Below are 26,742 nucleotides of genomic sequence, written 5' to 3'. Positions count from 1 at the left end.
TTGATAATGTTAAGCTAATCCTTTGGGATCAAACAACCAAGTGACTTTCTTATCAAAACAAGAACTCGGGCTTTTCCATTACGTGTACACAGACTTATGAAAAACGGTGAAAAAAAAATCTAGTAACTGTCTCACAGGGATCCAAGGTAAGACTTGGATTTCACAAAAATCTGCAATAATTCAGTTTCTTTCCTCAGAATGCTTATACTCATTTAAAAATGGAAGTCTACAAGAGAACGTAGTAACATCCTACTGCGTGACATGAAATGTAGGGAACGAATGTTTCTTTTTTTCCTTGCTGAACTCGTTAGTGCCGCCAGGTCCTCAGGAGAGGCCCAAGGGAGGTGAAGGGGGCGACCCCGAGGCGAGGAAAAAACGAGCGCCGCCGCTCAGCCCGGGGAGGGCATCCTCCGGCCTCCGTGAGTGGCCGGTCTCTCCGGCCGCCAGAGCACCCCTCTCAACCCGGGCCTTGGGGACGGAGGACAGAGATAAAATGGCCTCGAAGCGGCGGAAGTGTTCCCCGCAGGCGGGAAGGTAGAGCGGCTCACGAGAGACCGGTGCCGCACCAGGCCCGTGTGGCCTTTCGGGCCCTGCCCGCCCCTTACCCGCCGGGGGCGGCTGCGCATCAGCCCTCAGGCCCCGGAGGTCCCCCGCGTCCGCTCCCGCCAGCCGGCCCGCGCCTACCTCTCCAGGCAGAAGCCGCGCCGGCGCCACCGGTCGCATAGGCCGAGGCCGCGCTGCTTGCCCTGCCGCCCGGGCCCCCCGGGCCACCGCGCAGCCGGACAGCTCTGCCGCCGGCCCCGCCGCGCTCCTAGTCCCGCCGCAACCCCTGCGCTCCCCTTTATTTGTGGGTCTCGCTGCCACAAAATGGCGCTGAGGGAGGAAACCAGGCCCCGCCGCCCGGCCCCGCCCCGCCGCACGGCTCCGCTCCGCCCTGCCCCGCCCCACAGCCGGTCCGAACGCGCCGCAGGCCAGCGCCACTGCCTCCCGCCTCCCGCCTCCCGCCTCCCGCCAGCCTCCCCGCTCCGCCATGTTCGCCTTCTGGCCCACTCACAGGAGAGTCGCCTTTCAGGCGTGGCCGCAGTCACTCGCCCGCCGCCGAACCCCGCCAGGAGAGGAAAGGTGAAGGGAGGGAGGCCGTCGGCCTAGCCCGATCGGGGCCTCGAGGCACAATGGAGCAGCTGCTCCCCGGTAACACTCCCCGTCCTTTCCCAGGAGCCTGGCGCGAGCTCCGCGGGCCCCGGAGCTCAGCAAGCTCAGTAAGGGAAGCGGCCGAGGGGAGGGGCGGGCCAGCGAGGTCGGAGGTCAGCCCCAGGGCATCACGGGAAGGGAAGGTGGAAGTACTCGCCGGGGCCACCTGCGGCTGCGGGGCTGCCTCGTGCGGAGGGATCTGGGCGAAGGCGGCGCGTGATTGGCCGCTCTGTGTTCGTGACGCTCATCCGTGATGCTTCCGCGTGTCGGAGGACCAGGTGCCACCTCAAGAGAGAGGCCGTGGGCGGCGAGCCGCGGGCGTTTACTCTTAGCAGAAGCTCACCTGTAAGTTTTGAGAACTTAGAAACCGATGCCTTCCCTCTCATCAGTCGTGAGGCGCAGTCTCCTGGCCGCTGGGTTCGTTCCTCCTTGACATCTCTGGAGACGCATCGAGGAGCTATTGTTCTCTGGCGTCGGAGGTTGCGCTGTGTCCGCGGCGTTGAGGGCCCCTTGCTAACTGGAACACGGGGAAGGCGGCCCTGTGAGGTTTAGTGAACTCAATCAAAGAGGTCCTGCAAGTGGAGTAGACTCCCTGAAGTAAGACTGCCATCTGGACCGCCGAGTAATGGCGGTGTTACCTGGAGAACGTGAAACAGTCTCTAAACACTTACTAGAAGAGCACGTAATTCTTTTGATTGGTCTGTCCTTAGCCGGCTTTATCAAACCTGTTCATCCCCAAAGGAGTGTCTTGTAGTAAGGTGATTTATTAGGATAAGATTAAAGTACATTCCAGATGGTCGTAGTATATTTCCAGTGAATCAGATCGGTCTGGAGAAAATCTTTGCAACTCGTATCACAAGAGCTCTCAAAAATTGAAAACAAAAAGTGCAAAAGCCAAAGGAGAAAATGGGGAAGGACATGAACAGATGATTCTCAGAAAAAATACCGTAATGGTCTTTAAACATAGAAAGTCGCTCCACCTCACTTACAATGGAAATACACGTTGAAATTACCTTTCCTGGTGGGAGTGGAAAAATGGTTCAAGTTCCACGGAGTACAAAATTACTTGTGTTTATTCTTATACCTTGCAGTTATACTTCTAACCCTAACCTTATTCTGAAGGTGCAGCTCCACACATGGAAACAATAGGTATACAAGGTTATTGCAGTGCTATTTGTCATAGCAAAAGTTAGGGATAACCCAAATATCCGTTAATAGGGAACTGATTGGGAATGGTGCATCCATACAGTAGAACACAATGCAACCATTAAAAAGATTCAGGAAATAATCGTGTGTTGCTTTGGAATGAGTCTCAGGTTGTATTAAGTATTCACTTAAATATTTAAGTGTAGTAAGTATTCACTGTATTCAAAAGCAAAAATAAGCATATATGCTTTTATGTATTTACTTAAATACATAAAAATATATATTTATATTTAATATGAATATTTATGTGTATATGCTTATTTTCGGGGAGGAATTGGAAGGATATCCTGGAAACTTAACATTTTTAGTTGCCTATAAAGAGTGGGGGGTGGAGACAAGATTTCTCTGTCTTTGAACTTTTAGTTTTACATAGCCAAAAAAGTAAATAAAAAAGGAAACAAAGTAAATCCTAAGGTTGAAAGCAAATTGAAACAAATGAACTTAACTGTTAACTAATATAACTAAGATACACAGAAAAAATAATTATTCTTTGGGTTTTTTTTTTTTTTTTTGAGACAGTCTCACTGTGTTGCCCAGGCTGGAGTGCAGTGGTGCAATCTCAGCTCACTGCAACCTCTGTCTCCTGGGTTCAAGCGATTCTCTCAGCTCAGCCTCCTGAATAGCTGGGATTACAGGCATGCGCCACCATCCCCTGCTGATTTTTGTATTTTTAATAGAGATGGGATTTCACCATGTTGGCCAGGCTGGTCTGGAACTCCTGACCTCAGGTGATCCGCCTGCAGGTTGGCCTCCCAAAGTGCTGGGATTACAGGAATGAACCACCACCACTGGCCCCTCTGAGCTTTTGAACACAGTACTCTAGTAGTGTATCTGTGTTGTGATAGTGTAGTCTTTCCTTATATGCAGGAGATTGGATTTAGGACCTTCTGCGAGCATATACAGAAATCTGCATACTAAAGTCCCGGAGCTGAGCATAGGGAAAGTTGGTTCTTTGTGTAGGTGTGTTTTGCATCCCACTGTACTTCTGTTTTGTTTTCTTCCTTCCTTCCCTTTCCTTTCTTTTTCTTTTCTTTTTTTCTTTCTCTCCCTCTCTTCTTCCCTCCCTTCTTCCCTCCCTCCCTCTCTTCCCCCCTCCCTTCCTTCCCTTCTCTTGCTTTTCTTTTTTTTTTTCTTTTTTGAGAACAGGGTCTGACTCTGTCGTCCAGGCTGGAGTGCAGTGGTACGATCATGGCTCACTACAGCCTTGACTTCCTGGGCTCAAGCAATCCTCCCATCTCAGCCTCCCGAGTAGCTGGGACCACAGGCATGTGCCAGCACATCTAGCTAATTTTTTTCTATTTTCAGTAGAGAGCTGTGTTGCCTAGGCTGGTCTTGAACTCCTGGGCTCAAGTGATCCTCCCACCTAGCCTCCCAAAATGCTGGGATTATAGGTGTGAGCCACCGTCCCTCGCCCCACTGTATTTTTCATCTGTGTTGGGGTGAAAAAAATCCACATATAGGTGGACCCTGGCAGTCCAAACCAGTGTTGTTCAAGGGTCAACTGTGTATTCTAAGGATGAAAAAAGTGCACAGGAGCTTTCAGCTTCACTGATTTATGATTAATGGTAACATTGTTACTGTGGTTTTAAAACTCTGTACTGTATATGGTAGGATAACATAAGTATTTTAATGTTACTATATACAAAGATGTGCAGTGTGTGAGAGAATGAGATACAAACACAAGATCAAAGAAGTTCAGAAAAGGGCCGGGTGGCTGATGCCTGTAATCCCAGCACTTTGATAGGCCAAAGCGGGAGGATCACTAGAGTCCAGGAGTTTGAGACCAGCCTGGGCAACATAGCAAGACCCTGTCTCCATTTTTTAAAAAATTTAAAACAATTTTTAAGACGTTCATTCATCCGGGGGTGGGGGTGGAAACTAATATAAAGAATTTTAAGAAGTTCAGAAAAAAAAAGTCTGTAGTATTGAGTTTAAACTGGAGGGCTGGGTGCAGTGGCACACACCTGTAATCCCAGTGCTTTGGGAAGCCAAAGTGGCTTAGGAGTTCAAGACCAGCCTGGGCAACACAGTGAGATCTTGTCTCTACAAAATACAAAATAATAAAATAGCCAGGGGTGGTGGCCTGTGCCTATAGTCCTAGCTACTTGGGAGGCTGAGGCGAGAGGCCCAAATGAGCCCAGGAGTTTAAAGTTACAATGAGCTGTGATCTCACCAGTGCACTACAGCTTGGGCAACAGACCCTATCAAAAAGAAAAAAAAGTTTCAACTGCAAAAAAAAGTCCTAGTTCTGTGGACTGAAAGGGCCTAGAAGCACTAGGGTGACCAGTTGTTCTAGTTTGCCACAAACAGAGGGGTTTTCTCTGGATGCTGGACTTTCAGATTAAAACTGGAACAGTCCTGGCTGAACCAGGATGTATAGGCATGGGCACCCTACAGTAACAGTGAGCACATCTGACACTGAGATCTTGGTTTCTAAATTCCATTTCCCACTAAAAAGATCCAGAGCTCCTTTGGAGAACTGGCTGATTCCAGCTCTGGGACGGGAAAGGTACAAGATGAGCCAGGTATTTCGTTGTGCCTGAATGCAGAGGAAGTGCTTAGACCAATGAGGCTATGCCAACTGTAGTTAGGAGAACAAACAACACTAATCCATAGTGGTAGATAGCAGATCAGTGGTTGGTTAGGAGGGGAAGAGAGAAGGAATTGACTGGAAAGGAAAATGGGAGAACTTTTGGGGGTGATGGAAATGTTCTGTGTCATGGTTAGTGGGAATGTATACGTTTGTCAAAATTCATCAAATTGTGTCACTGTAAAGAATGCATTTTATTGCAAACCAAATGAGAAAAGCAAAGTCGATTGAGAACTTGCTGTAGCAAGGGAGTCAGCCACCATCCCTTATGTTTTAGCAGAGGTTCAAAGGCATGCAGAGGAGTGGGAAAGCTTTACAGTGGACAAAAGGAAAGGTTTCACAGGTATGCCTGATTGGAAGCTGTTGGCATGGGGAAGCTGGAAGCTAACTACAAGTTGGCATCCTATGGTCTTGGTTAAAGGAGCATATTTGGCTTTCTCTGGATGGGCATAAGCTAGAAGTGAGGACAAAAAGTAGGGAAGCTGTCAAGTTTTAATCAAGTCCTGGCCATTTTGAGCTGATTGTCATAGAAGTTATTATTTAGCTTCCTGGATTGCTACCAGAGATAGCAGTCTGACTTCCTACAAGTCTGGTTGATAGCAGGTTTGGCTTTCAGGCTGAGAGTACACTTATGGTAAATAAGTGGTTGGTTTACTGGGCTAGTTGTTGTAGGTAATGGGTCAGAATTCTGTTTTTATGTATATTCTGGCCATTTACCATTTGTATTTTCAGTCTCTCAAAAATAAATTTTAGAGACATGGGAGCCAGCTTGAAGGATCTCCCAGGGGGCAAATTTAGGGCAATTTTAGCGTCAAAAAGAAAATGAATACAATTGATTGCAAATACTGAATAAATAAAAGTCTACTCTCTAGTACAGAGAAGAGAGAATGAGAAGAGGGAAACTATTTTTCCATCATTGGTAGTGTCTATTACACCAATTTGATACTCTGAAAATTAGTTATTAAAGGGAGATAGCATTTACCCTGTTTGTTTTTTGTTTCATTTGTTTTTGTTTTTAAGACAGAGTCTTGCTCTGTCATCCAGGCTGGAGTGCAGTGGCACAAACATGGCTCACTGCAGTCTTGACCTCCTGGGCTCAAGTGATCCTCGTGCCTCGTCAGAAGCTGGGACTACAGGTGCCTGCCACCATACCTGGCTAAGTGTTTTTGCTTGCTTTTTTGTTTTTTTAGAGATGGGGTCTTGCTATGTTGCCCAGGCTGGTCTTGAACTCCTGGGCTCAAGTGATGCTCCCACCTCAACCTCCCAAAGCGCTGGGAGTACAGGCATGGGCCACTGCTCCCAACCTACCCTGCTTTTTTTTTCTTTTTTTTTTTAATAAAGAATGTGGTTTATACCCAGTTGATGAGGAAAAACTCTTCTTTACTATAGGATGCCAGCTAATAAGTATAAAATAAAATATAGAATTAGACAATAACCATGATGCAAACCTTAATGAAATAATTGACTCAGACAAGGACTATCAATGGACTTCAAAACCTTTAGATGAAAGATTGCTGGGAAATGCCATCAAAGTATCACTCTACAGGCTACTTACCTAATTGTAAAAGAAATTACAGGCTGGGTGTGGTGGCTTACGCCTGTAATCCCAGCACTTTGGGAGGCCGAGGCTAGCAGATCATGAGGTCAGGAGTTCAAGACCAACCTGGCAACATAGTGAAACCCCATCTCTACTAAAAATACAAAAAAAAAAAAAAAAAAAAAAAAGGTCAGCCGCAGTGGCTCATGCCTGTAATCCTGTAATCCCAGCACTTTGGGAGGCCAAGGCAGGCAGATCACCTGAGGTTGGGAGTTCGAGACCAGCCTGACCAACGTGGAGAAACCCCGTCTCTACTAAAAATACAAAATTAGCCGGGCATGGTGGCACATGCCTGTAATCCCAGCTACTCAGGAGGCTGAGGCAGGAGAATTGCTTGAACCCAGGAGATGGAGGTTGTGGTGAGCCAAGATCGCACCATTGCACTCCAGCCTGGGCAATGAGAGCAAAACTCCGTCTCAAAAATAAATAAATAAAACGGCTGGGCACGGTGGCTCATGCCTGTAATCCCAGCACTTTGGGAGGCCGAGGCGGGCAGATCACGAGGTCAGGAGATTGAGACCATCCTGGCTAACATGGTGAAACCCCATCTCTACTAAAAATACAAAAAATTAGCCAGGCGTGGTGGTGGTCACCAGTGGTCCCAGCTACTCGGGAGGCTGAGGCAGGAGAATGGCATGAACCCAGGAGGCAGAGCTTGCAGCGAGCTGAGATTGTGCCATTGCACTCCAGCCTGGGTGACAGAGCGAGACTCCGTCTCAAAAAAAAAATTAAAAAATATAAATAAATAAAAATTAAATAAAAATAAAAATACAAAAAAAAAATAGTCGGGTGCAGTGGCATGTGCCTGTAGTCCCAGCTCCTTGGGAGGCTGAGGCAGGAGAATCACTTGAACCCAGGAGCAGAGGTTGCACTGAGCCGAGATCGCGCCATTGCACTACAGCCTGGGCGACACAACAAGACACTGTCTCAAAAAAAAAAAAAAAAAAAAAAAAAAAGGTAAAGAAAATACACCTGTATAGTGGAGCCATCTGGTGGTCACCATTTGAACCAAACCATCAAATTTAGTATCAGTAATAGTGGGACAACCTCCAGTTTACAGAGAATACAAGAGAAAGGGTTGTCATGCAAATCTGATAGTACTAGCAAAGATAATTATTCTAAAAAAAAAGTCGTAAGACTATAAGCAATAAATAGTTATTGAGCAGCTGAGTTAGGCATACTATAGTCTCAGTTTCAGTATCTAACCAGCTTCAAGTCACCATTTCAAATGAAATATCAACGCGTGATGAAAGTTAACTTACTACCATCCTTTTCTTGGGGTTGCACTACTGTCCAATGGGTACCTAGTGAGGGCAGTACTGCTAACTCCTGCACAACACACCGAAATCAACTAGAGCTTTGCTTTGCCTTGGTGCAGTTTTTGGAGAAATGAAAAACAGCTTTCCCATACACACACAGTTATTTACATATTACTGTATTAAAAAGTACATACAGGCTGGGCACGGTGGCTTACGCCTGTAATCCCAGCACTCTAGGAGGCCGAGGTGGGCGGATCATTTGAGGTCAAGATTCGTGACCAGCCTGGCCAACATGGTGAAACTCTGTCTTTGCTAAAAAAATATATATTTATATATACACAAAAAAATTAGCCGGGCGTGGTGGCGGGCGTCTGTAATCCCAGCTACTCCGGAGGATGAGACAGGAGATTCGCTTGAACCCGGGAGGCAGAGGTTGCAATGAGCTGAGATCGTGCCACTGCACTCCAGCCTGGGAGACGGAGTGAGACTCTGTCCCCCCCACCAAAAAAAAAAAAAAGCAAGGCTGGGCATGGTGTCTCATGCCTGTAATCCCAGGACTTTGGGAGACCGAGGCAGGCAGATCACTTGAGGTCGGGAGTTCGAGACCAGCCTAGCCAACATGGTGAAACCCTGTCTCTGCTAAAAAATACAAAAATTAGCCGGGTATGGTGGCACACATTTGTAATCCAACTACTTGGGAGGCTGAGGCAGGAGACTCTCTTGAACCCGGGAGGTGGAGGTTGCAGTGAGCCAAGATCGCGTGACTGCACTCCAACCTGGGGGACAGAATAAGACTCTCTCAAAAAAAAAAAAGAAAATAAAAGAAAAAACCATAATACTGAGTTAGATTAAGTGAATTGGCCACTTCTTTGCCATCAGCCTAATACTTAGCCTGCAACTTTTTTTTTTTTTTTTTTTTGAGAAAGGGTGTTGCTCTGTTGCCCAGGCTGGAGTGAGGTAGCATGATCTTGGCTCACTGCAGACTCCACCTCCTTTGCCCAGGTGATCCTCCTGTCTCAGCCTCTCCAGTAGCTGCGACCACAAGCACAAGCCACCTCTCCCGATCTCGGCTCACTGCAACCTCCGCCTCCTTGGTTCAAGCGATTTTCCCACCTCAGCAGCCTGAGTAGCTGGGATTACAGGCACATGCCACCGTACTCAGCTAGAGACATGAGTAGAGACATAGTAAAGACAGAGTTTCACCATGTTGGCCAGGCTGGTCTTGAACTCCTGACCTCGTGATCCACCTGCCTCTGCCTCCCAAAGTGCTGGGATTATAGGCATGGGTTACCATGCCAGCCGACTTCTCTTATCTCTTATGTGGTGAAAACAGGAAAAGAGAGCTCTATGGGGTCCCTTTTATAAGGGCACTGATCTCATTCATGAAGGCCCTACCTTCATGACCTAATCCCCTTCCAAGGGCCTCACCACCTACCTCCACATTAGGGGTTAAGATTTCAACATGAATTTTGGGTGGACGCAAACATTCAATCTATTGCAGAAGTACAGAGGAAAAAAAAAACAGTAAGTCTAGCTTTTGTTATTGGCACCCAGAAATCCAGGGATCCTGGAGAGATTATCAGAGTTGTTGGTTAAAAATGTTAATGTTAATCCACGACGCTCTCAAGAGCTCACGTCTGGTGTGACTATGACCATGTCATGCTGTTTCACCAGTTAGTACCTCTGCTGAGTCCATTCTTTCTGCCTGGAATGCTCTTTCTACTCTTCTATGCCAGGTTATCTCCTATTCACAGTTAGCAATTAGCCTAAGACACATTATTTATTTACCTTAGTTTGTGTCAAGCATAGACAGTTGTGGTTTTACAGATAGGGAAGCCAAACCAAACTTCCTAGCCTACTTTTCTTTTTCTAATCTAGTGGATTTTATACTGACTTACAAGATTTTACTGTGAGCAGCAATGCAACATAACCCAATATATCTAATCTTTCAGATTTAGTGAACATTTAGATTTTTAAAATTATAATTAAAGCTATAACATTTAGTCTTCATTTTCTCTGCAGACCACAAAGACTTCTGACATTCTAAGTTTTTTTTAAAAAATAATTCAGTAGATTGTTATCATAATTTTTACTAGACTATTATTAAAATATTATTTCAGAAATTCATATGTTGATGAGATATCTGCGTTCCCATGTATGTTGAAGCACCATTCACAATAACCAAGATAAAGACTCAGCCTAAGTGTCCATCAACAGATGAATGGATAAGGAAAATGTGGTATATATGACCAGGCATGGTGGCTTATACCTGTAATCCCAGCACTTTAGGAGGCTGGGAATTTAGAAGTGGGAGAATTGCTCAAGGAGGGTTTGAGACCAGCCTGGGCAACAAAGTGAGACCCCACCTCTACAAAAAAATAAAAATTAGCCAGGCATGGTGGTGTGCGCCTATAGTCCCAGCTACTTGGGAGGCTGAGGTGAGAAGATTTCATGAGCCCAGGAGTTCAAGGCTATAGTGAGCTATGAATGCACCTCTGCATTCCAGCCTGGGTGACAGAGGGGAGAGACCCTATCCCAGAAAGAAAGAGAAAAGGAGAGAGAAAGAAAAAGAAAAAAAAATTGTGTATGTGTGAGTGTATATATATATACACATATACACACACACACACACACACACACACACACATATCCATACATATATATGTATGAATACTATTTAGCCACAGGAGGACATTATATTAAGTGAAATAAGCCAAGCACAGAAAGAGAAGTACTGCATGTTCTCACTGATAGGTGAAAGCTAAAAAAGTTGATCTCATGGAAGTAGAGAGTAGAATAGCGGTTACTAGAGACTGGAAAGGGTAGGGGTAGGGAGGGGACAGCCAGAGGTTATTAACAGATACAACAGTACAGCTAGATGGGAGGAATAAGTGCTAGTGTTCTACAGCACCATTGGGTAACTATAATAACAAACAATTTATTGTATATTTTCAAATAGAAGAGCAGATTTTGAATATTTTCAGCACAAAGAAATAATAGATATTTGAATTGATAGATGTGCCAATTACCCTGATTTGATCACTACACATTGTATACATGTATGGAAATATCACAGTGTACTCCAGAATATGTACAGTTATTATGTGTCAAATAAAAATAATAATTTTATGGTTAGGCACAGTGGCTCATGCCTATAAGCCTAGAACTTTGGGATACTGAGGTGGGAGAAGTCCTTGAACCCAGGAGTTCAAGACCCTCCTGGGCAACACAGCGAGACCCTGTCTCTAATTCTAAAATAATTATAGTAAAAAAATAAAGATAGAGTTAGGTTTTAAACATTCTGAACTCCTTGGTGGGAGTAAGGAGCATCTGTTGGTCAACAGAGGTAACAGAGGTATGGGTAGCTCAGAGTCAATTATTCTCGGAAACAGGCTTGTCCAGCTACTGGAAAAAAATCCCTTCATTAGGAAAAATAAAGGCACCTTTTGCATGTAATTTCCCTGTCCTGATCCCTGTAATTCTTTCCTAGTTGCCCATTCAGTACAAATAATAGCAGCTTTCTGAAAAGGATTTAGCATGCCAGAATGACTAGGCATTGCTGTACTCCTTCCAACATCTGCTGGGGTATTGTGGCACACACTACTGGGAGCCATGTTCCTCCTCTTGCACAATCTAGGAACTTCTAAATTGTGTTTGAGTCATAGTATCTTCAGGCCAGGAGATGAATTATGGCTGGTGTAAGCCAGTGTTTCTCAACAAGTGTGCTACTGGAATTTTGGACAAGACAATTTGTGTGTGTGTGAAAAGTATCTTGTGCATTTTAGGACATTTAGCATCCCCACACCAACCCACTAGATGCCAATAGCACCTCTCTGTATATGTGACAGCTGAAAGTGTCCCTTTCTATATTTTCAATACTGCCCCCTCCCGTCATGCCCTTGATGAGAACTGCTGGTCTAAGGCAAGCATGGCTGTCATGGTCTTTACCACATAGTGATGGTGCTCAGTCTTCTTGCAGGCAGAGTTGGCCAGTTGAGCAGTTCTGGCTGGGATCAGAGGAAATCTCTCGGGGCTTCTGAGAAAAATTTTCCTTCCGGGGAGAGGCACATGAGGTGAAATGTTTTCCCCCTCCCTTCCTTGTTGTCTCTTACTAGGCTGTGAGAGGCTGTGCTGCTTGCACCTATAGGAAACATCTTGTGACGATGAGGCAACAAGTTGGAAAATGAAAGCAGGCTGCTGGGAATTCAGAGTCAAGAATGGAAAGTCCCTGGGTCCGGGATGACCTTGTTAATCTTCCAGACTCACCAAGGGACTGCCAGTTCTTGTACTTTTTATTAGGTAAAACAGATATGTCCTTATATTTAAAACCACTGTTCATCAGGATTCCTGTTACCCATAGCCAAACACATTCTAACTTAGAGAGGAAGGGCATTTACATGATCAGCAAGTGAAATAAAATGGAGAGGTGCCAGCAAAACTAGGTTTTTCTGTGACACTTTGCTTTATTGTTGTTGTTTTTACATTATGATGTCCATAGCCCTTGTTTCACAATAAAGCAAAAATTTAAAAGTCATTATTCATTTCCAGAAAACCAAACTTTTATAAGACAAAAAGCTAACTACAATAAAAATATAAGGGTCTTGAAGGATTTTATTTTCAGAACTTTTTTTTTTTTTTTTTCCTTGAGACAGGGTCTAGCTCTGTTGCCCAGGCTGGAGACCAGTGGTGTCATCTCAGTTCACTGCAGCCTGCACCTCCTGGGCTCAAGCGATACTCCCACCTCAGCCCCCCAGGTAGCTGGGACTACAGGTGTGAACTACCATACCCAGCTAATTTTTGCATTTTTTATGGAGACGGAGTCTCACCATGTTGGCCAGGCTGGTCTCAAACTCCTGGGCTCAAGTGATTCTCCCACCTTGACCTCCCAAAGTGTTAAGATTACAGGCGTGAGCCACCATGCCTGGCCTATATTCAGAACTTTTCAAAATACTATTCTGTTTGCCTCTGTTGCTTGCTAATAGTGTTTAACCTTATGGATGCAACGGTAAGATCCTGTTTGGTCAAACCTTCAGTCAAATCTCTTCAGTTTTTAAAAGGACGGTTTTTTGTTCCCCACAAATTAAAGACCCACTAGGACAGGAGACAGTCCATTCAAAAACTATGTGACTGTTGACAAACTGTAAATCCATTCTTCTGCCAGAGGAGAGCACTGGGCCTTAAGCAATGGTTCTACTGTTGACCACACTGACTTCCTGTTAGACATGTTTTTGTTGCTCTTCCCTGTTTTTCTTAACCTGTAAATAGTTTTCTCTATCCCACTCATTTGGGTCCCAGTGCCACTGGCCAATCCAGGTCTTCAGCTTTTCTTGTCGACTAACAGTGGCCCCCCAATTGGTCCTCTGCCACCCATCTTTGCTTCCCATCCAAACTCTCTCCTACACAACAAGCCCTTTCTAAACACAAGTCTGGGAAATTTCCACTCCTGGGAAAATGGACTAGACATACTTTTCCATGTTCCTCTCACCAAGTATGGCTAAAAATCCTGAATATTATATGTAAAACAAGCAGAAGAAGACTGAAAGGCAAACTGGCTATGGACTTCAGGACCCAAGGACTGACACAGGAATGACTCCCTGTGTTTCATTTTTGCCTCATATATCCCAGAAGCCAGCAATCTGTACACATCAACAAGCACAGACAAAAACAGCCACCAGCAAAAGCCTCTTATGTATAACTAAAGGTCCAAGAAAGGAGGCAGTCTACCAAGACAGAAAACCTTTAGACAGTAACTGCTCTACTCCAGCCAGACAACAGAGAAGAATCTGCAGCCTACCCCCATCCACTCAAGCAAAGGCTTCTGATGAAAATGCCAGTGGGCTGTGATGTGATTAGTTAGGCAGGACACCAGGGTAGGCTTATCATAATCTGGGCACACAGAATTGCAGTCATTTGGCACACCTTTTCAACAAAGTGAAAAACAGGAATTGCTTTATAGTACCGTGGGAAAGAGTACCGCCTGGCGATGAAACGAGCAAAACATCTAGAGGCTGTGCTGCTGAGCCTGCTGGTGGAAGTCAAATCAGTGTTGGTTCTTAAAAGTTCACTACCCAGGCCCTGCCTGGGGAGTGAAGTAGGGAGTGTACAGTCAGGAGAAGGGACTGATGGAATGTGCGGGTCTGTTCCCGATGGAAGCTAGGCTTATCTTCCCTTGGAGGGAAGAATCCGTATGTAATATGTCAGCCAGTGTGGGACTCAGGGAAGTCCAAGGTCATTGGGTTTCTGGAGGGAAAAAAGAATAGAGGAAAAGGTATAGGCAGAGATGATGTTTCTTTGGTCCTCACAACCCGACGTCTAGGGAGGTGAGGGCCTGTATTAGTCTTATGTGACAGATGGGACAGCAGAGGCACAGAGAAGTCAGATGGCAGCAGAGATTAGAGGTAAAGCCGGTGTGCTCATGTGATCACTTGCTTATGTGAGCAGAAGTAGTTCTGCTTGTCATCTTGCTATAGCCCATTTGAAGGCAGAAGGAGGATAATTGCCCACTACACCAAAATTGCATTCCGCCAAACTTGCCACCAAGAGCTCAACAGTCGCCACGATGCTGAGCACGGAAGGCAGGGAGGGGTTCGTGGTGAAGGTCCAGGGCCTATCCTGGTCCTGCTCAGCTGATGAAGTGATGCACTTCTCTGATTGCAAAATACAAAATGGCACATCAGGTATTTGTTTCATCTACACCGGAGAAGGCAGACCAAGTGGTGAAGCATTTGTTGAACTTGAATCTGCAGATGAAGCGAAATTGGCTTTAAAGACAGAGAAACCATGGGACACAGATACGTTGAAGTATTCAAGTCTAATAGTGTTGAAATGGATTGGGTATCGAAGCACACAGGTCTGAATAGTCCTGATACTGCCAACGATGGCTTCGTCTGGCTTAGAGGACTTCCATTTGGCTGTCCAAGGAAGAGATTGTTCATTTCTTTTCAGGGTTGGAAATTGTGCCAAATGGGATAACACTGTGAGTGGACTTTCAGGGCAGAAGCACAGGGGAAGCCTTTGTGCAGTTGGCTTCGCAGGAGATAGCTGAGACGGCATTGAAGAAACACAGGGAAAGAATAGGGCACAGGTACATTGAAATCTTCTAGAATAGCCAAGCTGAAGTTCATACCTACTATGATCCCTCTCAGAAGCTCATGGCTGTGCAGTGGCCAGGTCCCAGTGATAGGCCAGGGGCTGGCTGAGGTGTAATAGCATTGGCAGAGGAGCTGGGTTTGAAAAGATGAGGCAGGGTCCCTATGGTGGAGGGTATAGAGGCTATGATGACTATCGTGGCTGTAATGATGGATATGGCTTTAGGTCTGATAGATTTGGAAAAGACCGCAATTACTGTTTTTCAGGAATGTCTGATCATAGATACGGAGATAGTGGGTCCAGTTTCCAGAGCACCACAGGGCACTGTGTACACACGAGGGGTTTACCTTACAGAGCCACTAAGAATGTTATAATTTCTATTCACCTCTTAACCTCATGAGAGTACATATTGAAATTGGACACGATGACAGAGTTTACTGGTAGGGCAGATGTTGAGTTTGCTGCTCACGAAGATGCAGTGGCAGCTATGGCAAAAGACAAAGCTAATATGCAGCACAGGTACAGGGAGACCTTTTTAAATGCTATAGGAACAAGTAGGGGGGTTTATGAACACACCTATGTAGAACTTTTCTTGAATCTACAGCAGGGGCAAGTGGTGGTGCTTATGGTAGGCAAATGATGGGAGAGATGGGCTTACCCAACCAGTCTAGTTATGCAGCTGAGTGGTGGTTGTGGAGGTGGTTATGGTGGTCTGAGTAGTGTGAGTGGTGGTTATGGAGGTGGTTATGGAGGTCAGAGCAGCTGAGTCGTGGTTATGGAGGTGGTTAGGGTGATCAGAGCATTGTGAGTGGTGGTTATGGAGGTGGTTATGGAGGTCAGAGCAGCTGAGTGGTCGTTGTGGAGGCGGTTAGGGTGATCAGAGTAGTGTGAGTGGTGGTTATGGAGGTGGTTATGGTGATCAGAGCAGTGTGAGTGGTGGTTATGGAGGTGGTTATGGAGGTCAGAGCAGCTGAGTGGTGGTTATGGAGGTGGTTATGGAGGTCTGAGCAGTGTGAGTGGTGGTTATGGAGGTGGTTATGGTGATCAGAGCAGTGTGAGTGGTGGTTATGGAGGTGGTTATGGAGGTCAGAGCAGCTGAGTGGTGGTTATGGAGGTGGTTAGGGTGATCAGAGCAGTGTGAGTGGTGGTTATGGAGGTGGTTATGGTGATCAGAGCAATGTGAGTGGTGGTTATGGAGGTGGTTAGGGTGATCAGAGCAATGTGAGTGGTGGTTATGGAGGTGGTTATGGTGATCAGAGCAATGTGGGTGGTGGTTGTGGAGGTGGTTATGGTGGTCAGAGCAGCTGAGTGGTGGTTATGGAGGTGGTTATGGAGGTCTGAGCAGCTGAGTGGTGGTTATGGAGGTGGTTATGGAGGTCTGAGCAGCCGAGTGGTGGTTATGGAGGTGGTTATGGAGGTCTGAGCAGTGTGAGTGGTGGTTATGGAGGTGGTTATGGAGGTCTGAGCAGTGTGAGTGGTGGTTATGGAGGTGGTTATGGTGATCAGAGCAATGTGAGTGGTGGTTGTGGAGGTGGTTATGGTGATCAGAGCAATGTGAGTGGTGGTTATGGAGATCAGAGCAGTGTGACTGGTGGTTATGGAGGTGGTTATGGTGGTCAGAGCAGCTGAGTGGTGGTTATGGAGGTGGTTATGGTGATCAGAGCAATGTGAGTGGTGGTTATGGAGGTGGTTATGGTGATCAGAGCAATGTGAGTGGTGGTTGTGGAGGTGGTTATGGTGATCAGAGCAGTGTGAGTGGTGGTTATGGAGGTGGTTATGGTGATCAGAGCAATGTGAGTGGTGGTATTGGAGGTGGTTATGGTGGTCAGAGCAGCTGAGTGGTGGTTATGGAGGTGGTTATGGTGGTCAGAGCAGTGTGAGTGGTGGTTGTGGAGGTGGTTATGGTGATCAGAGCAATGTGAGTGGTGGTTATGGAGGTGGTTATGGTGATCAGAGCAATGTGAGTGGTGGTTGTGGAGGTGGTTATGGTGATCAGAGCAATGTGAGTGGTGGTTATGGAGGTGGTTATGGTGATCAGAGCAATGTGAGTGGTGGTTGTGGAGGCGGTTATGGTGATCAGAGCTGTTGAGTGGTGGTTATGGAGGTGGTTATGGAGGTCAGAGCAGTGTGAGTGGTGGTTATGGAGGTGGTTATGGAGGTCAGAGCAGTGTGAGTGGTGGTTATGGAGGTGGTTATGGTGATCAGAGCAATGTGAGTGGTGGTTGTGGAGGTGGTTATGGTGATCAGAGCAATGTGAGTGGTGGTTGTGGAGGTGGTTATGGTGATCAGAGCAATGTGAGTGGTGGTTATGGAGGTGGTTATGGTGATCAGAGCAATGTGAGTGGTGGTTATGGAGGTGGTTATGGTGATCAGAGCAATGTGAGTGGTGGTTGTGGAGGCGGTTATGGTGATCAGAGCTGTTGAGTGGTGGTTATGGAGGTGGTTATGGAGGTCAGAGCAGTGTGAGTGGTGGTTATGGAGGTGGTTATGGAGGTCAGAGCAGTGTGAGTGGTGGTTATGGAGGTGGTTATGGTGATCAGAGCAATGTAAGTGGTGGTTGTCGAGGCGGTTATGGAGGTCAGAGCAGCTGAGTGGTGGTTATGAGGTGGTTATGGTGATCAGAGCAATGTGAGTGGTGGTTGTGGAGGCGGTTATGGAGGTCAGAGCAGCTGAGTGGTGGTTATGGAGGTCAGAGCAGTATGAGTGGTGGTTATGGTGGTCAGAGCAGTGTGACTGGTGGTTATGGAGGTGGTTAGGGTGATCAGAGCAGTATGAGGGGATATGACCACGTTCTGGAGGAAAACTCCAGTGACTGTCAGTCAAAGCTTGGTTAGGTAGAGAAGGAGCACTAAAGAGCTACTCCAGATATAAAAGCAGTGCACTTATGGGAGTTGAATAGAATGGGAGGGATGTCTAGTATATCCCGTATAATGGGTAAATGAGAAATATAATTTATTCTGATCACTCTTGGTCAGCTTCTCTGTCGTCTTTCTTTTTCCTCTTTTTTTGAGACAGAGTCTAACTCTGTCGCCAGGTTGGAGTGCAGTGGCACGATCTTGGCTCACTGCAACTTTGCCTCCCAGGTTCAAGTGATTTCTCCTGCCTCAGCCTCCCAGTAGCTGGGACTATAGGCACGTGCCACCACGCCCAGCTAATTTTTGTATTTTATATATATATATATATATGTATTTATACTTTAAGTTCTAGGGTACATGTGCACAACGAACGTGCAGGTTTGTTACATATGTATGCATGTGCCATGTTGGTGTACTACACCCATTAACTCGACATTTACATTAGGTATATCTCCTAATGCTATCCCGCCCCCCTCCCCCCACCCCACAACAGGCCCCAGTGTGTGATGTTCCTCTTCCTGTGTCCAAGTTCAATTGTTCAATTCCCACCTATGAGTGAGAACATGTGGTGTTTGGTTTTTTGTCCTTGCGATAGTTTGCTGAGAATGATGGTTTCCAGCGTCATCCATGTCCCTACAAAGGACATGAACTCATCATTTTTTATGACTGCATAGTATTCCATGGTGTATATATGCCACATTTTCTTAATCCAGTCTATCATTGTTGGACATTTGGGTTGGCTCCAGGTCTTTGCTATTGTGAGTAGTGCCGCAATAAACATACGTGTGAATGTGTCTTTATAGCAACATGATTTATATTCCTTTGGGTATATACCTAGTAATGGGATGGCTGGGTCAAATGGTATTTCTAGTTCTAGATCCCTGAGGAATCGCCACACTGTCTTCCACAATGGTTGAACTAGTTTACAGTCCCACCAACAGTGTAAAAGTGTTCCTATTTCTCCACATCCTCTCCAGCACCTGTTGTTTCCTGACTTTTTAATGATTGCCATTCTTACTGATGTGAGATGATATCTCATTGTGCTTTTGATTTGCATTTCTCTGATGGCCAGTGATGGTGAGCATTTTTTCATGTGTCTGTTGGATGCATAAATGTCTTCTTTTGGGGAGTGTCTGTTCATATCCGTTGCCCACTTTTTGATGGGGTTGTTTGTTTTTTTCTTGTAAATTTGTTTGAGTTCTTTGTAGATTCTGGATATTAGCCCTTTGTCAGATGAGTAGATTGCAAAAATTTTCTCCCATTTTGTAGGTTGCCTGTTCAGTCTAATGGTAGTTTTTTTTGCTGTGCAGAAGCTCTTTAGGTTAATTAGATCCCATCTGTCAATTTTGGCTTTTGTTGCCATTGCTTTTGGTGTTTTAGTCATGAAGTCCTTGCCCATGCCTATGTCCTGAATGGTATTGCTTAGGTTTTCTTCTAGGGTTTTTATGGTTTTGGGTCTAACATTTAAGTCTTTAATCCATCTTGAATTAATTTTTGTATAAGGTGTAAGGAAGGGTTCCAGTTTCAGCTTTCTACATATGGCTAGCCAGTTTTCCCAGCACCATTTATTAAATAGGGAATCCTTTCCCCATTGCTTGTTTTTGTCAGGTTTCTCAAAGATCAGATAGTTGTAGATGTGTGGTATTATTTCTGAGGGCTCTGTTCTGTTCCATTGGTCTATATCTCTGTTTTGGTACCAGTACTATGCTGTTTTGGTTACTGTAGTCTTGTAGTATAGTTTGAAGTCAGCGTGATGCCTCCAGCTTTGTTCTTTTGGCTTAGGATTGACTTGGCAATGTGGGCTCTTTTTTGGTTCCATGTGAACTTTAAAGTAGTTTTTTCCAATTCTGTGAAGAAAGTCATTGGTAGCTTGATGGGGATGGCATTGAATGTAGAAATTACCTTGGGCAGTATAGCCATTTTCACGATATTGATTCTTCCCATCCATGACCATGGAATGTTCTTCAATTTGTTTGTGTCCTCTTTTATTTCGTTGAGCAGTGGTTTGTAGTTCTCCTTGAAGAGGTCCTTCACATACCTTGTAAGTTGGATTCCTAGGTATTTTATTCTCTTTGAAGCAATTGTGAATGGGAGTTCACTCATGATTTTGTTCTCCGTTTGTCTGTTATTGATGTATAAGAATGCTAGTGATTTTTGCATATTGATTTTGTATCCTGAGACTTTGCCGAAGTTGCTTATCAGCTTAAGGAGATTTTGGGCTGAGATGATGGGGTTTTCTAGATACACAATCGTGTCATCTGCAAACAGGGACAATTTGACTTCCTCTTTTCCTAATTGAATACCCTTTATTTCTTTCTCCTGCCTGATGGCCCTGGCCAGAACTTCCAACACTATGTTGAATAGGAGTGGTGAGAGAGGGCATCCCTGTCTTGTGCCAGTTTTCAAAGGGAATGCTTCCAATTTTTGCCCATTCAGTATGATATTGGGTGTGGGTTTGTCATAAATAGCTCTTATTATTTTGAGATACGTCCCATCAATACCTAATTTATTGAGAGTTTTTAGCATGAAGGGCTGTTGAATTTTGTCCAAGGCCTTTTCTGCATCTGTTGAGATAATCATGTGGTTTTTGTCTTTGGTTCTGTTTATATGCTGGATTACATTTATTGGTTTGCGTATGTTGAACCAGCCTTGCATCCCAGGGATGACGCCCCCTTGATCACGGTGGATAAACTTTTGGATGTGCTGCTGGATTCAGTTTGCCAGGATTTTATTGAGGATTTTTGCATCAATGTTCATCAGGGATATTGGTCTAAAATTCTCTTTTTTTTGTTGTGTCTCTGCCAGGCTTTGGTATCAGGATGATGCTGGCCTCATAAAATGAGTTAGGGAGGATTCCCTCTTTTTCTATTGATTGGAATAGTTTCAGAAGGAATGGTACCAGCTCCTCCTTGTACCTCTGGTAGAATTTGGCTGTGAATCCGTCTAGTCCTGGACTTTTTTTGGTTGGTAAGCTATTAATTATTGCCTCAATTTCAGAGCCTGTTATTGGTCTATTCAGAGATTCAACTTCTTTGTGGTTTAGTCTTGGGAGGGTGTATGTGTCCTGGAACTTATCCATTTCTTCTAGATTTTCTAGTTTATTTGTGTAGAGGTGTTTATAGTATTCTCTGATGGTAGTTTGTATTTCTGTGGGATCGGTGGTGATATCTCCTTTAACATTTTTTATTGCATCTATTTGATTCTTCTCTCTTTTCTTTTTTAGTAGTCTTGCTAGTGGTCTATCAATTGTGATCTTTCCAGAAAACCAGCTTCTGGATTCATTGATTTTTTTGAAGGGTTTTTTGTGTCTCTGTCTCCTTCAGTTCTGCTCTGATCTTAGTTATTTCTTGCCTTCTGCTAGTTTTTGAATATGTTTGCTCTTGCTTCTCTAGTTCTTTTAATTGTGATGTTAGGGTATCAATTTTAGATCTTTCCTGCTTTCTCTTGTGGGCATTTAGTGCTATAAATTTCTCTCTACACACTGCTTTAAATGTGTCCCAGAGATTCTGGTATGTTGTGTCTTTGTTCTCGTTGGTTTCAAAGAACATCTTTATTTCTGTCTTCATTTCATTATGTACCCAGTAGTCATTCAGGAGCAGGTTGTTCAGTTTCCATGAAGTTGAGTGGTTTTGAGTGAGTTTCTTAATCCTGAGTTCTAGTTTGATTGCACTGTGGTTTGAGAGACAGTTTGTTATAATTTCTGTTCTTTTACATTTGCTGAGGAGTGCTTTACTTCCAACTATGTGGTCAGTTTTGGAATAGGTGCGATGTGGTGCTGAGAAGAATGTATATTCTGTTGATTTGGGGTGGAGAGTTCTGTAGGTGTCTATTAGGTCCGCTTGGTGCAGAGCTGAATTCAATTCCTGGATATCCTTGTTAACTTTCTGTCTCGTTGATCTGTCTAATGTTGACAGTGGGGTGTTAAAGTCTCCCATTATTATTGTGTGGGAGTCTAAGTCTCTTTGTAGGTCTCTAAGGACTTGGTTTATGAATCTGGGTGCTCCTGTATTGGGTGCATATATATTTAGGATAGTTAGCTCTTCTTGTTGAATTGATCCCTTTACCATTATGTAATGGCCTTCTTTGTCTCTTTTGATCTTTGTTGGTTTAAAGTCTGTTTTATCAGAGACTAGGATTGCAATGCCTGCCTTTTTTTGTATTCCACTTGCTGGGTAGATCTTCCTCCATCCCTTTATTTTGAGCCTATGTGTGTCTCTGCATGTGAGATGGGTTTCCTGAATACAGCAGACTGATGGGTCTTGACTCTTTATCCAATTTGCCAGTCTGTGTCTTTTAATTGGAGCATTTAGCCCATTTACATTTAAGGTTAATATTATTATGTGTGAATTTGATCCTGTCACTAGGATGTTCGCTGGTTATTTTGCTCATTAGTTGATGCAGTTTCTTCCTGGCATCGATGGTCTTTACAATTTGGCATGTTTTTGCAGTGGCTGGTACCAGTTGTTCCTTTCTATGTTTAGTGCTTCCTTCAGGAGCTCTTGTAGGGCAGGCCTGGTGGTGACAAAATCTCTCAGCATTTGCTTGTTTGTAAAGGATTTTATTTCTCCTTCACTTATGAAGCTTAGTTTGGCTGGATATGAAATTCTGGGTTGAAAATTCTTTTCTTTAAAAACGTTGAATATTGGCCCCCACTCTCTTCTGGCTTGTAGAGTTTCTGCTGAGAGATCAGCTGTTAGTCTGATGGGCTTCCCTTTGTGGGTAACCCGACCTTTCTCTCTGGCTGCCCTTAACATTTTTTCCTTCATTTCAACTTTGGTGAATCTGACAATTATGTGTCTTGGAGTTGCTCTTCTTGAGGAGTATCTTTGTGGCATTCTCTGTATTTCCTGAATTTGAATGTTGGCCTGCCTTGCTAGGTTGGGGAAGTTCTCCTGGATAATATCCTGCAGAGTGTTTTCCAGCTTGGTTCCATTCTCCCTGTCACTTTCAGGTACACCAATCAGACGTAGATTTGGTCTTTTCACATAGTCCCATATTTCTTGGAGGCTTTGTTTCTTTTTACTCTTTTTTCTCTTAACTTCTCTTCTTGCTTCATTTCATTCATTTGATCTTCAATCACTGATACCCTTTCTTCCAGTTGATCGAATCGGCTACTGAAGCTTGTGCATTCGTCACGTAGTTCTTGTGCCATGGTTTTCAGCTCCATCAGGTCCTTTAAGGACTTCTCTGCATTAGTTATTCTAGTTAGCCATTCGTCTAATCTTTTTTCATGGTTTTTAACTTCTTTGCGATGGGTTCAGACTTCCTTCTTTAGCTCGGAGAAGTTTGATCGTCTGAAGCCTTCTTCTCTCAACTCGTCAAAGTCATTCTCTGTCCAGCTTTGTTCCATTGCTGGTGAGGAGCTGTGTTCCTTTGGAGATGGAGAGGTGCTCTGATTTTTAGAATTTTCAGCTTTTCTGCTCTGTTTTTTCCCCATCTTTGTGGTTTTATCTACCTTTGTTCTTTGATGACGGTGACGTACAGGTAGGGTTTTGGAGTGGATGTCCTTTCTGTTTGTTGGTTTTCTTTCTAACAGGACCCTCAGCTGCAGGTCTGTTGGAGTTTGCTGGAGGTCCACTCCAGACCCTGTTTGCCTGGGAATCAGCAGTGGAGGCTGCAGAACAGCGAATATTGCTGAACAGCAAATGTTGCTGCCTGATCGTTCCTCTGGAGGTTTCCTCTCAGAGGGGTACCTGGCCATGTGAGGTGTCAGTCTGCCCCTACTGGGGGGTGCCTCCCAGTTAGGCTACTCAGGGGTCAGGGACCCACTCGAGGACGTGGTCTGTCTGTTGTCAGATCTCAAACTCTGTGCTGGGAGAACCACTGCTCTCTTCAAAGCTGTCAGACAGGGACATTTAAGTCTGCAGAGGTTTCTGCTGCCTTTTGTTCAGCTATGCCCTGCCCCCAGAGGTGGAGTCTACAGAGGCAGGCAGGCCTCCTTGAGCTGCAGTGGGCTCCATCCAGTCCGAGCTTCCTGGCTGCTTTGTTTACCTGCTCAAGCCTCGGCAATGGCAGGCGCCCCTCCCCTAGCCTCACTGCTGCCTTGGAGTTCGATCTCAGGCTGCTGTGCTAGCAGTGAGCAAGGCTCCATGGGCGTGGCACCCTCTGAGCCAGGCACAGGATATAATCTCCTGGTGTGCTGTTTGCTAAGACCATTGGAAAAGCGCAGTATTAGGGTGGGAGTGAACCGATTTTCCAGGTGCCGTCTGTCACAGCTTTGCTTGGCTATGAAAGTGAATTCCCTGATCCCTTGCGCTTCCCAGGTGAGGCGATGCCTGGCCCTGCTTCGGCTCACACTCAGTGCTCTGCACCCACTGTCCTCCACCCACTGTCTGACAAGCCCCAGTGAGATGAACCCAGTACCTCAGTTGGAAATGCAGAAATCACCCGTCTTCTGCATCGCTAATGCTGGGAGCCGTAGACTGGAGCTATTCCTATTTGGCCATCTTGGATCCGCCTCTCCTAATTTTTGTATTTTTATTAGAGATGGGGTTTCACCGTGTTGGCCAGGATGATCTTGATCTCTTGACCTCATGATCTGCATGCCTCAGCTTCCCAAAGTGCTGGGATTACAGGCGTGAGCCACCATGCCCAGCCTTTCCTTTTTAAAGAAAACAAAAGTTTAACAGTTTTGCATTACAGGCTTGTGTCACATGCTTACTGTAACAGTGGAAGATTATTTTAAAACTTCAAGCTCAGTAATTTTGAACACTGAAACATTCATCTAGGACATAACAAAGTTCAGTATTGATCATAACTATTAAAACAATTTTCAGCTTTCTTCAAGTTAGTTATGTTGTAGGAGTGTATCTAAGCAGTAAGCATATTTAGGTTGATGCAGTTTCACTTGTGTTAAATGTTGCTCTTGTACCCCATAAATACATTGAAAAGTTTGGATGCTCATCAAATATAGGGGCTGTGTATGCGATTCAAAGTGAAAACATTTGGCATGTTTGTTAATTCTAGCTTTTTGGTTTAATATCCTGTAAGGCATGTGAGTGTACACTTGAGTGTATACTTTTACTTTTTTTTAACATATGGGACAATTTTAAGATGTAATACTAATACTTTAGGAGTTTCGTCATGTCATTTGTATGGAATTCTGAGGCTTTGGTTTAAATCTTTCCTTGTGATTTCCATTTAGAAGTATTGTACTAAGTGAAACTTGTTAAATCTTCCTTTAAAAAAAAAAAAAGAGGTAAAGCCTCAACTTCCATGTAGTAAGCTGCTTTCTTTGTCCACTCCTTGAAACACACACAACAGAATTTCCATACATACATACAAAAACAGAAGCCCTTCACTCTTGTCGCCCAGGCTGGAGTGCAATGGCGCAATCTTGGCCCACTGCAACCTCCATCTCCTGGGTTCAAGCTATTCTCCTGCCTCAGCCTCCCAAGTAGCTGGGATTACAGGCATGCGCCACCACGCCTGGCTAATTTTGTATTTTTTGTAGAGACGGGGTCTCTCCATGTTGGTCAGGCTGGTCTCGAACTCCCAACCTCAGGTGATCTGCCCACCTCGGCCTTCAAAAGTGCTGGGATTACAGGCGTGAGCCACCATGCCTGGCCGGAAGCCATTTTTTTTAAAGATGAGGTTTCACTGTTGGCCAGACTGGAGTGCAGTGGTGCAATCAGAGCTCACTGCAGCCTCGAACCCCTGGGATTAAGCAGTCCTACCTTAGCCTCCTGAGTAGCTGGGACTATAGGCAAATACCACAACACCTGGCTTTTTTTTTTTTTTTTTTTTTTTTCGAGATAGGGTCTTGCTCTGTCGCCCAGGCTGGAGTGCAGTGGTGCCATCACAACATACTGCATCCTCTGCCTTCTGGGCTCAAGTGATCCTCCCACCTCAGCCTCTCAGTAACTGGGACTACAGGCGCACACCACCATGCCTGGCTTTTTTTTCTTTCTTTCTTTCTTTCTTTTTTTTTTTTTTTTTTTTTTTTTGGAGAGATAGAGCTTCCCTGTATTGCTGCTGGCTGAGGTTTTAAAAAATTGTTTATAGGCTGGGCAGGGTGGCTCACACCTGTATTCCCAGCACTTCAGGAGGCCGCGGAGGTGGGCAGATTGTCTGAGGTTGGGAGGTTGAGACCAGCCTGGTCATCATGGTGAAACCCCATCTACTTAAAATACAAAAATTAGCTGGGTGTGGCAGTGCACGTCTGTAGTCCCAGCTCCTAGGGAGGCTGAGGCACAAGAATCACTTCAACCTGGGAGGCGGAGGTTACAGTGAGCTGAGATTGCACCACTGCACTCCAGCCTGGGTGATAGAGTGAGACTCAGTCTCAAGAAAAAAAAAAAAAAAATTTTATACAGACAGGGTCTTGCTTTGCTGCCCAGGCTGGTCTTGAACTCCTGGCTTCAAGGGATCCTCCCGCCTCAGCCTCCCAAAGCACCGGGATTACAGGTGTTAGCCACTACAAATGCGTAGCAGCATAAAGGCACAACTAACTACAGAGAATGTAATCTAAAGTATGTTTAAGCTCATCAGATTTATATGATAAAGTAAGGTCCCTTATTTGGGGCATCCATATTTTATGCCCATAAACCATTGAACTGAATAACAAGTCTCTTTCTCAGTAGGAAAAACCTTAGATACAAGGCAGGGAGATTTTGTTCTTGTTCTCTAGGAAAAAGTGAGAGAAAAGCAGCTGTGTATAGCACTTTCTAACTGTAAAGGTCACACTTGGGCTGACGGGGTGGGTGATCCTCTGGCAAGAAGGGGAATGAGCACAGGTTCTCTCCTAAAATCCCCACTGAAATGACTCATAGAATATACAAATTGCTGGGGAAAAGTCCACATTCAAGCTGGAAATGTTGGGTACCATTCAAATACCAAAAATGTGGGAGATTTTGAGATTCTACCATAGCACTGATGTGTGACTATTAACAGTAACAATGACTCATGGATGAGATCATGAAGTGATATTCCTTTATTGCCCAATAGGTCATTAAA

The 26,742-nt window shown here is 44.9% G+C and overlaps 2 protein-coding genes and 2 pseudogenes across 12 annotated transcripts in view, besides 7 other annotated features; 3 read left to right on the top strand and 1 right to left on the bottom strand.

Moving 5' to 3' along the window:
- Positions 1 to 1,695, bottom strand: part of WTAP (WT1 associated protein) — a 29,627-nt gene extending 27,932 nt beyond the window's left edge. For 4 of the 9 annotated variants that reach the window (XM_047419578.1, NM_001270531.2, NM_152857.3 and 1 more), the window contains exon 1: positions 685 to 882. Coding sequence is in view for 2 of the 9 variants with exons in the window: in XM_017011514.3 (XP_016867003.1) it covers positions 1,535 to 1,577 (43 nt within the window). In the remaining 7 variants the exon portion in view is untranslated. Of the gene's footprint in view, positions 1 to 684; positions 883 to 1,054; positions 1,272 to 1,534 lie in introns of those variants that run through there. The other 5 variants (NM_004906.5, NM_152858.3, NM_001270532.2 and 2 more) reach the window with 2 other exon arrangements.
- Positions 1 to 26,742, top strand: part of SOD2 (superoxide dismutase 2) — a 93,213-nt gene that overhangs the window by 33,894 nt on the left and 32,577 nt on the right. The window contains exon 1 of one of the 3 annotated variants that reach the window (NM_001322819.2): positions 1,004 to 1,122. The exons of 1 other annotated variant lie outside the window; for it this stretch is intronic. The gene's annotated coding sequence lies outside the window, so the exon portion shown is untranslated. Of the gene's footprint in view, positions 1 to 1,003; positions 1,123 to 1,437; positions 1,537 to 26,742 lie in introns of those variants that run through there. One more of the 3 variants, NM_001322820.2, reaches the window with a different exon arrangement.
- Positions 464 to 1,013: a silencer, noted in NCBI's record as "silent region_17753". NCBI's record gives its function as "represses an Ori minimal core promoter by ATAC-STARR-seq in GM12878 lymphoblastoid cells {active_cell/tissue: GM12878}" and the evidence as "EXISTENCE:reporter gene assay evidence [ECO:0000049][PMID:35858748]".
- Positions 464 to 1,073: a biological region, named in NCBI's record as "NANOG-H3K27ac-H3K4me1 hESC enhancer GRCh37_chr6:160148347-160148944".
- Positions 476 to 1,073: an enhancer, noted in NCBI's record as "NANOG-H3K27ac-H3K4me1 hESC enhancer chr6:160148347-160148944 (GRCh37/hg19 assembly coordinates)". NCBI's record gives its function as "activates a minimal SCP1, AML or CMV promoter by ChIP-STARR-seq in primed H9 embryonic stem cells {active_cell/tissue: H9 hESC(primed)}" and the evidence as "EXISTENCE:reporter gene assay evidence [ECO:0000049][PMID:30033119]".
- Positions 1,024 to 1,153: an enhancer, noted in NCBI's record as "active region_25390". NCBI's record gives its function as "activates an Ori minimal core promoter by ATAC-STARR-seq in GM12878 lymphoblastoid cells {active_cell/tissue: GM12878}" and the evidence as "EXISTENCE:reporter gene assay evidence [ECO:0000049][PMID:35858748]".
- Positions 1,024 to 1,671: a biological region, named in NCBI's record as "H3K27ac hESC enhancer GRCh37_chr6:160147749-160148346".
- Positions 1,074 to 1,671: an enhancer, noted in NCBI's record as "H3K27ac hESC enhancer chr6:160147749-160148346 (GRCh37/hg19 assembly coordinates)". NCBI's record gives its function as "activates a minimal SCP1, AML or CMV promoter by ChIP-STARR-seq in primed H9 embryonic stem cells {active_cell/tissue: H9 hESC(primed)}" and the evidence as "EXISTENCE:reporter gene assay evidence [ECO:0000049][PMID:30033119]".
- Positions 1,504 to 1,593: an enhancer, noted in NCBI's record as "active region_25389". NCBI's record gives its function as "activates an Ori minimal core promoter by ATAC-STARR-seq in GM12878 lymphoblastoid cells {active_cell/tissue: GM12878}" and the evidence as "EXISTENCE:reporter gene assay evidence [ECO:0000049][PMID:35858748]".
- On the top strand, positions 7,848 to 7,973 carry RNU4ATAC18P (RNA, U4atac small nuclear 18, pseudogene; annotated as a pseudogene).
- Positions 14,390 to 15,661, top strand: HNRNPH1P1 (heterogeneous nuclear ribonucleoprotein H1 pseudogene 1; annotated as a pseudogene).

The sequence above is a fragment of the Homo sapiens genome, chromosome 6, assembly GCF_000001405.40.
Source record: "Homo sapiens chromosome 6, GRCh38.p14 Primary Assembly".
In the NCBI taxonomy this organism is placed as follows: domain Eukaryota; kingdom Metazoa; phylum Chordata; class Mammalia; order Primates; family Hominidae; genus Homo; species Homo sapiens.
Note: the sequence above shows the minus strand (reverse complement) of the source record. Positions and strands in the feature narration are given on the sequence as shown.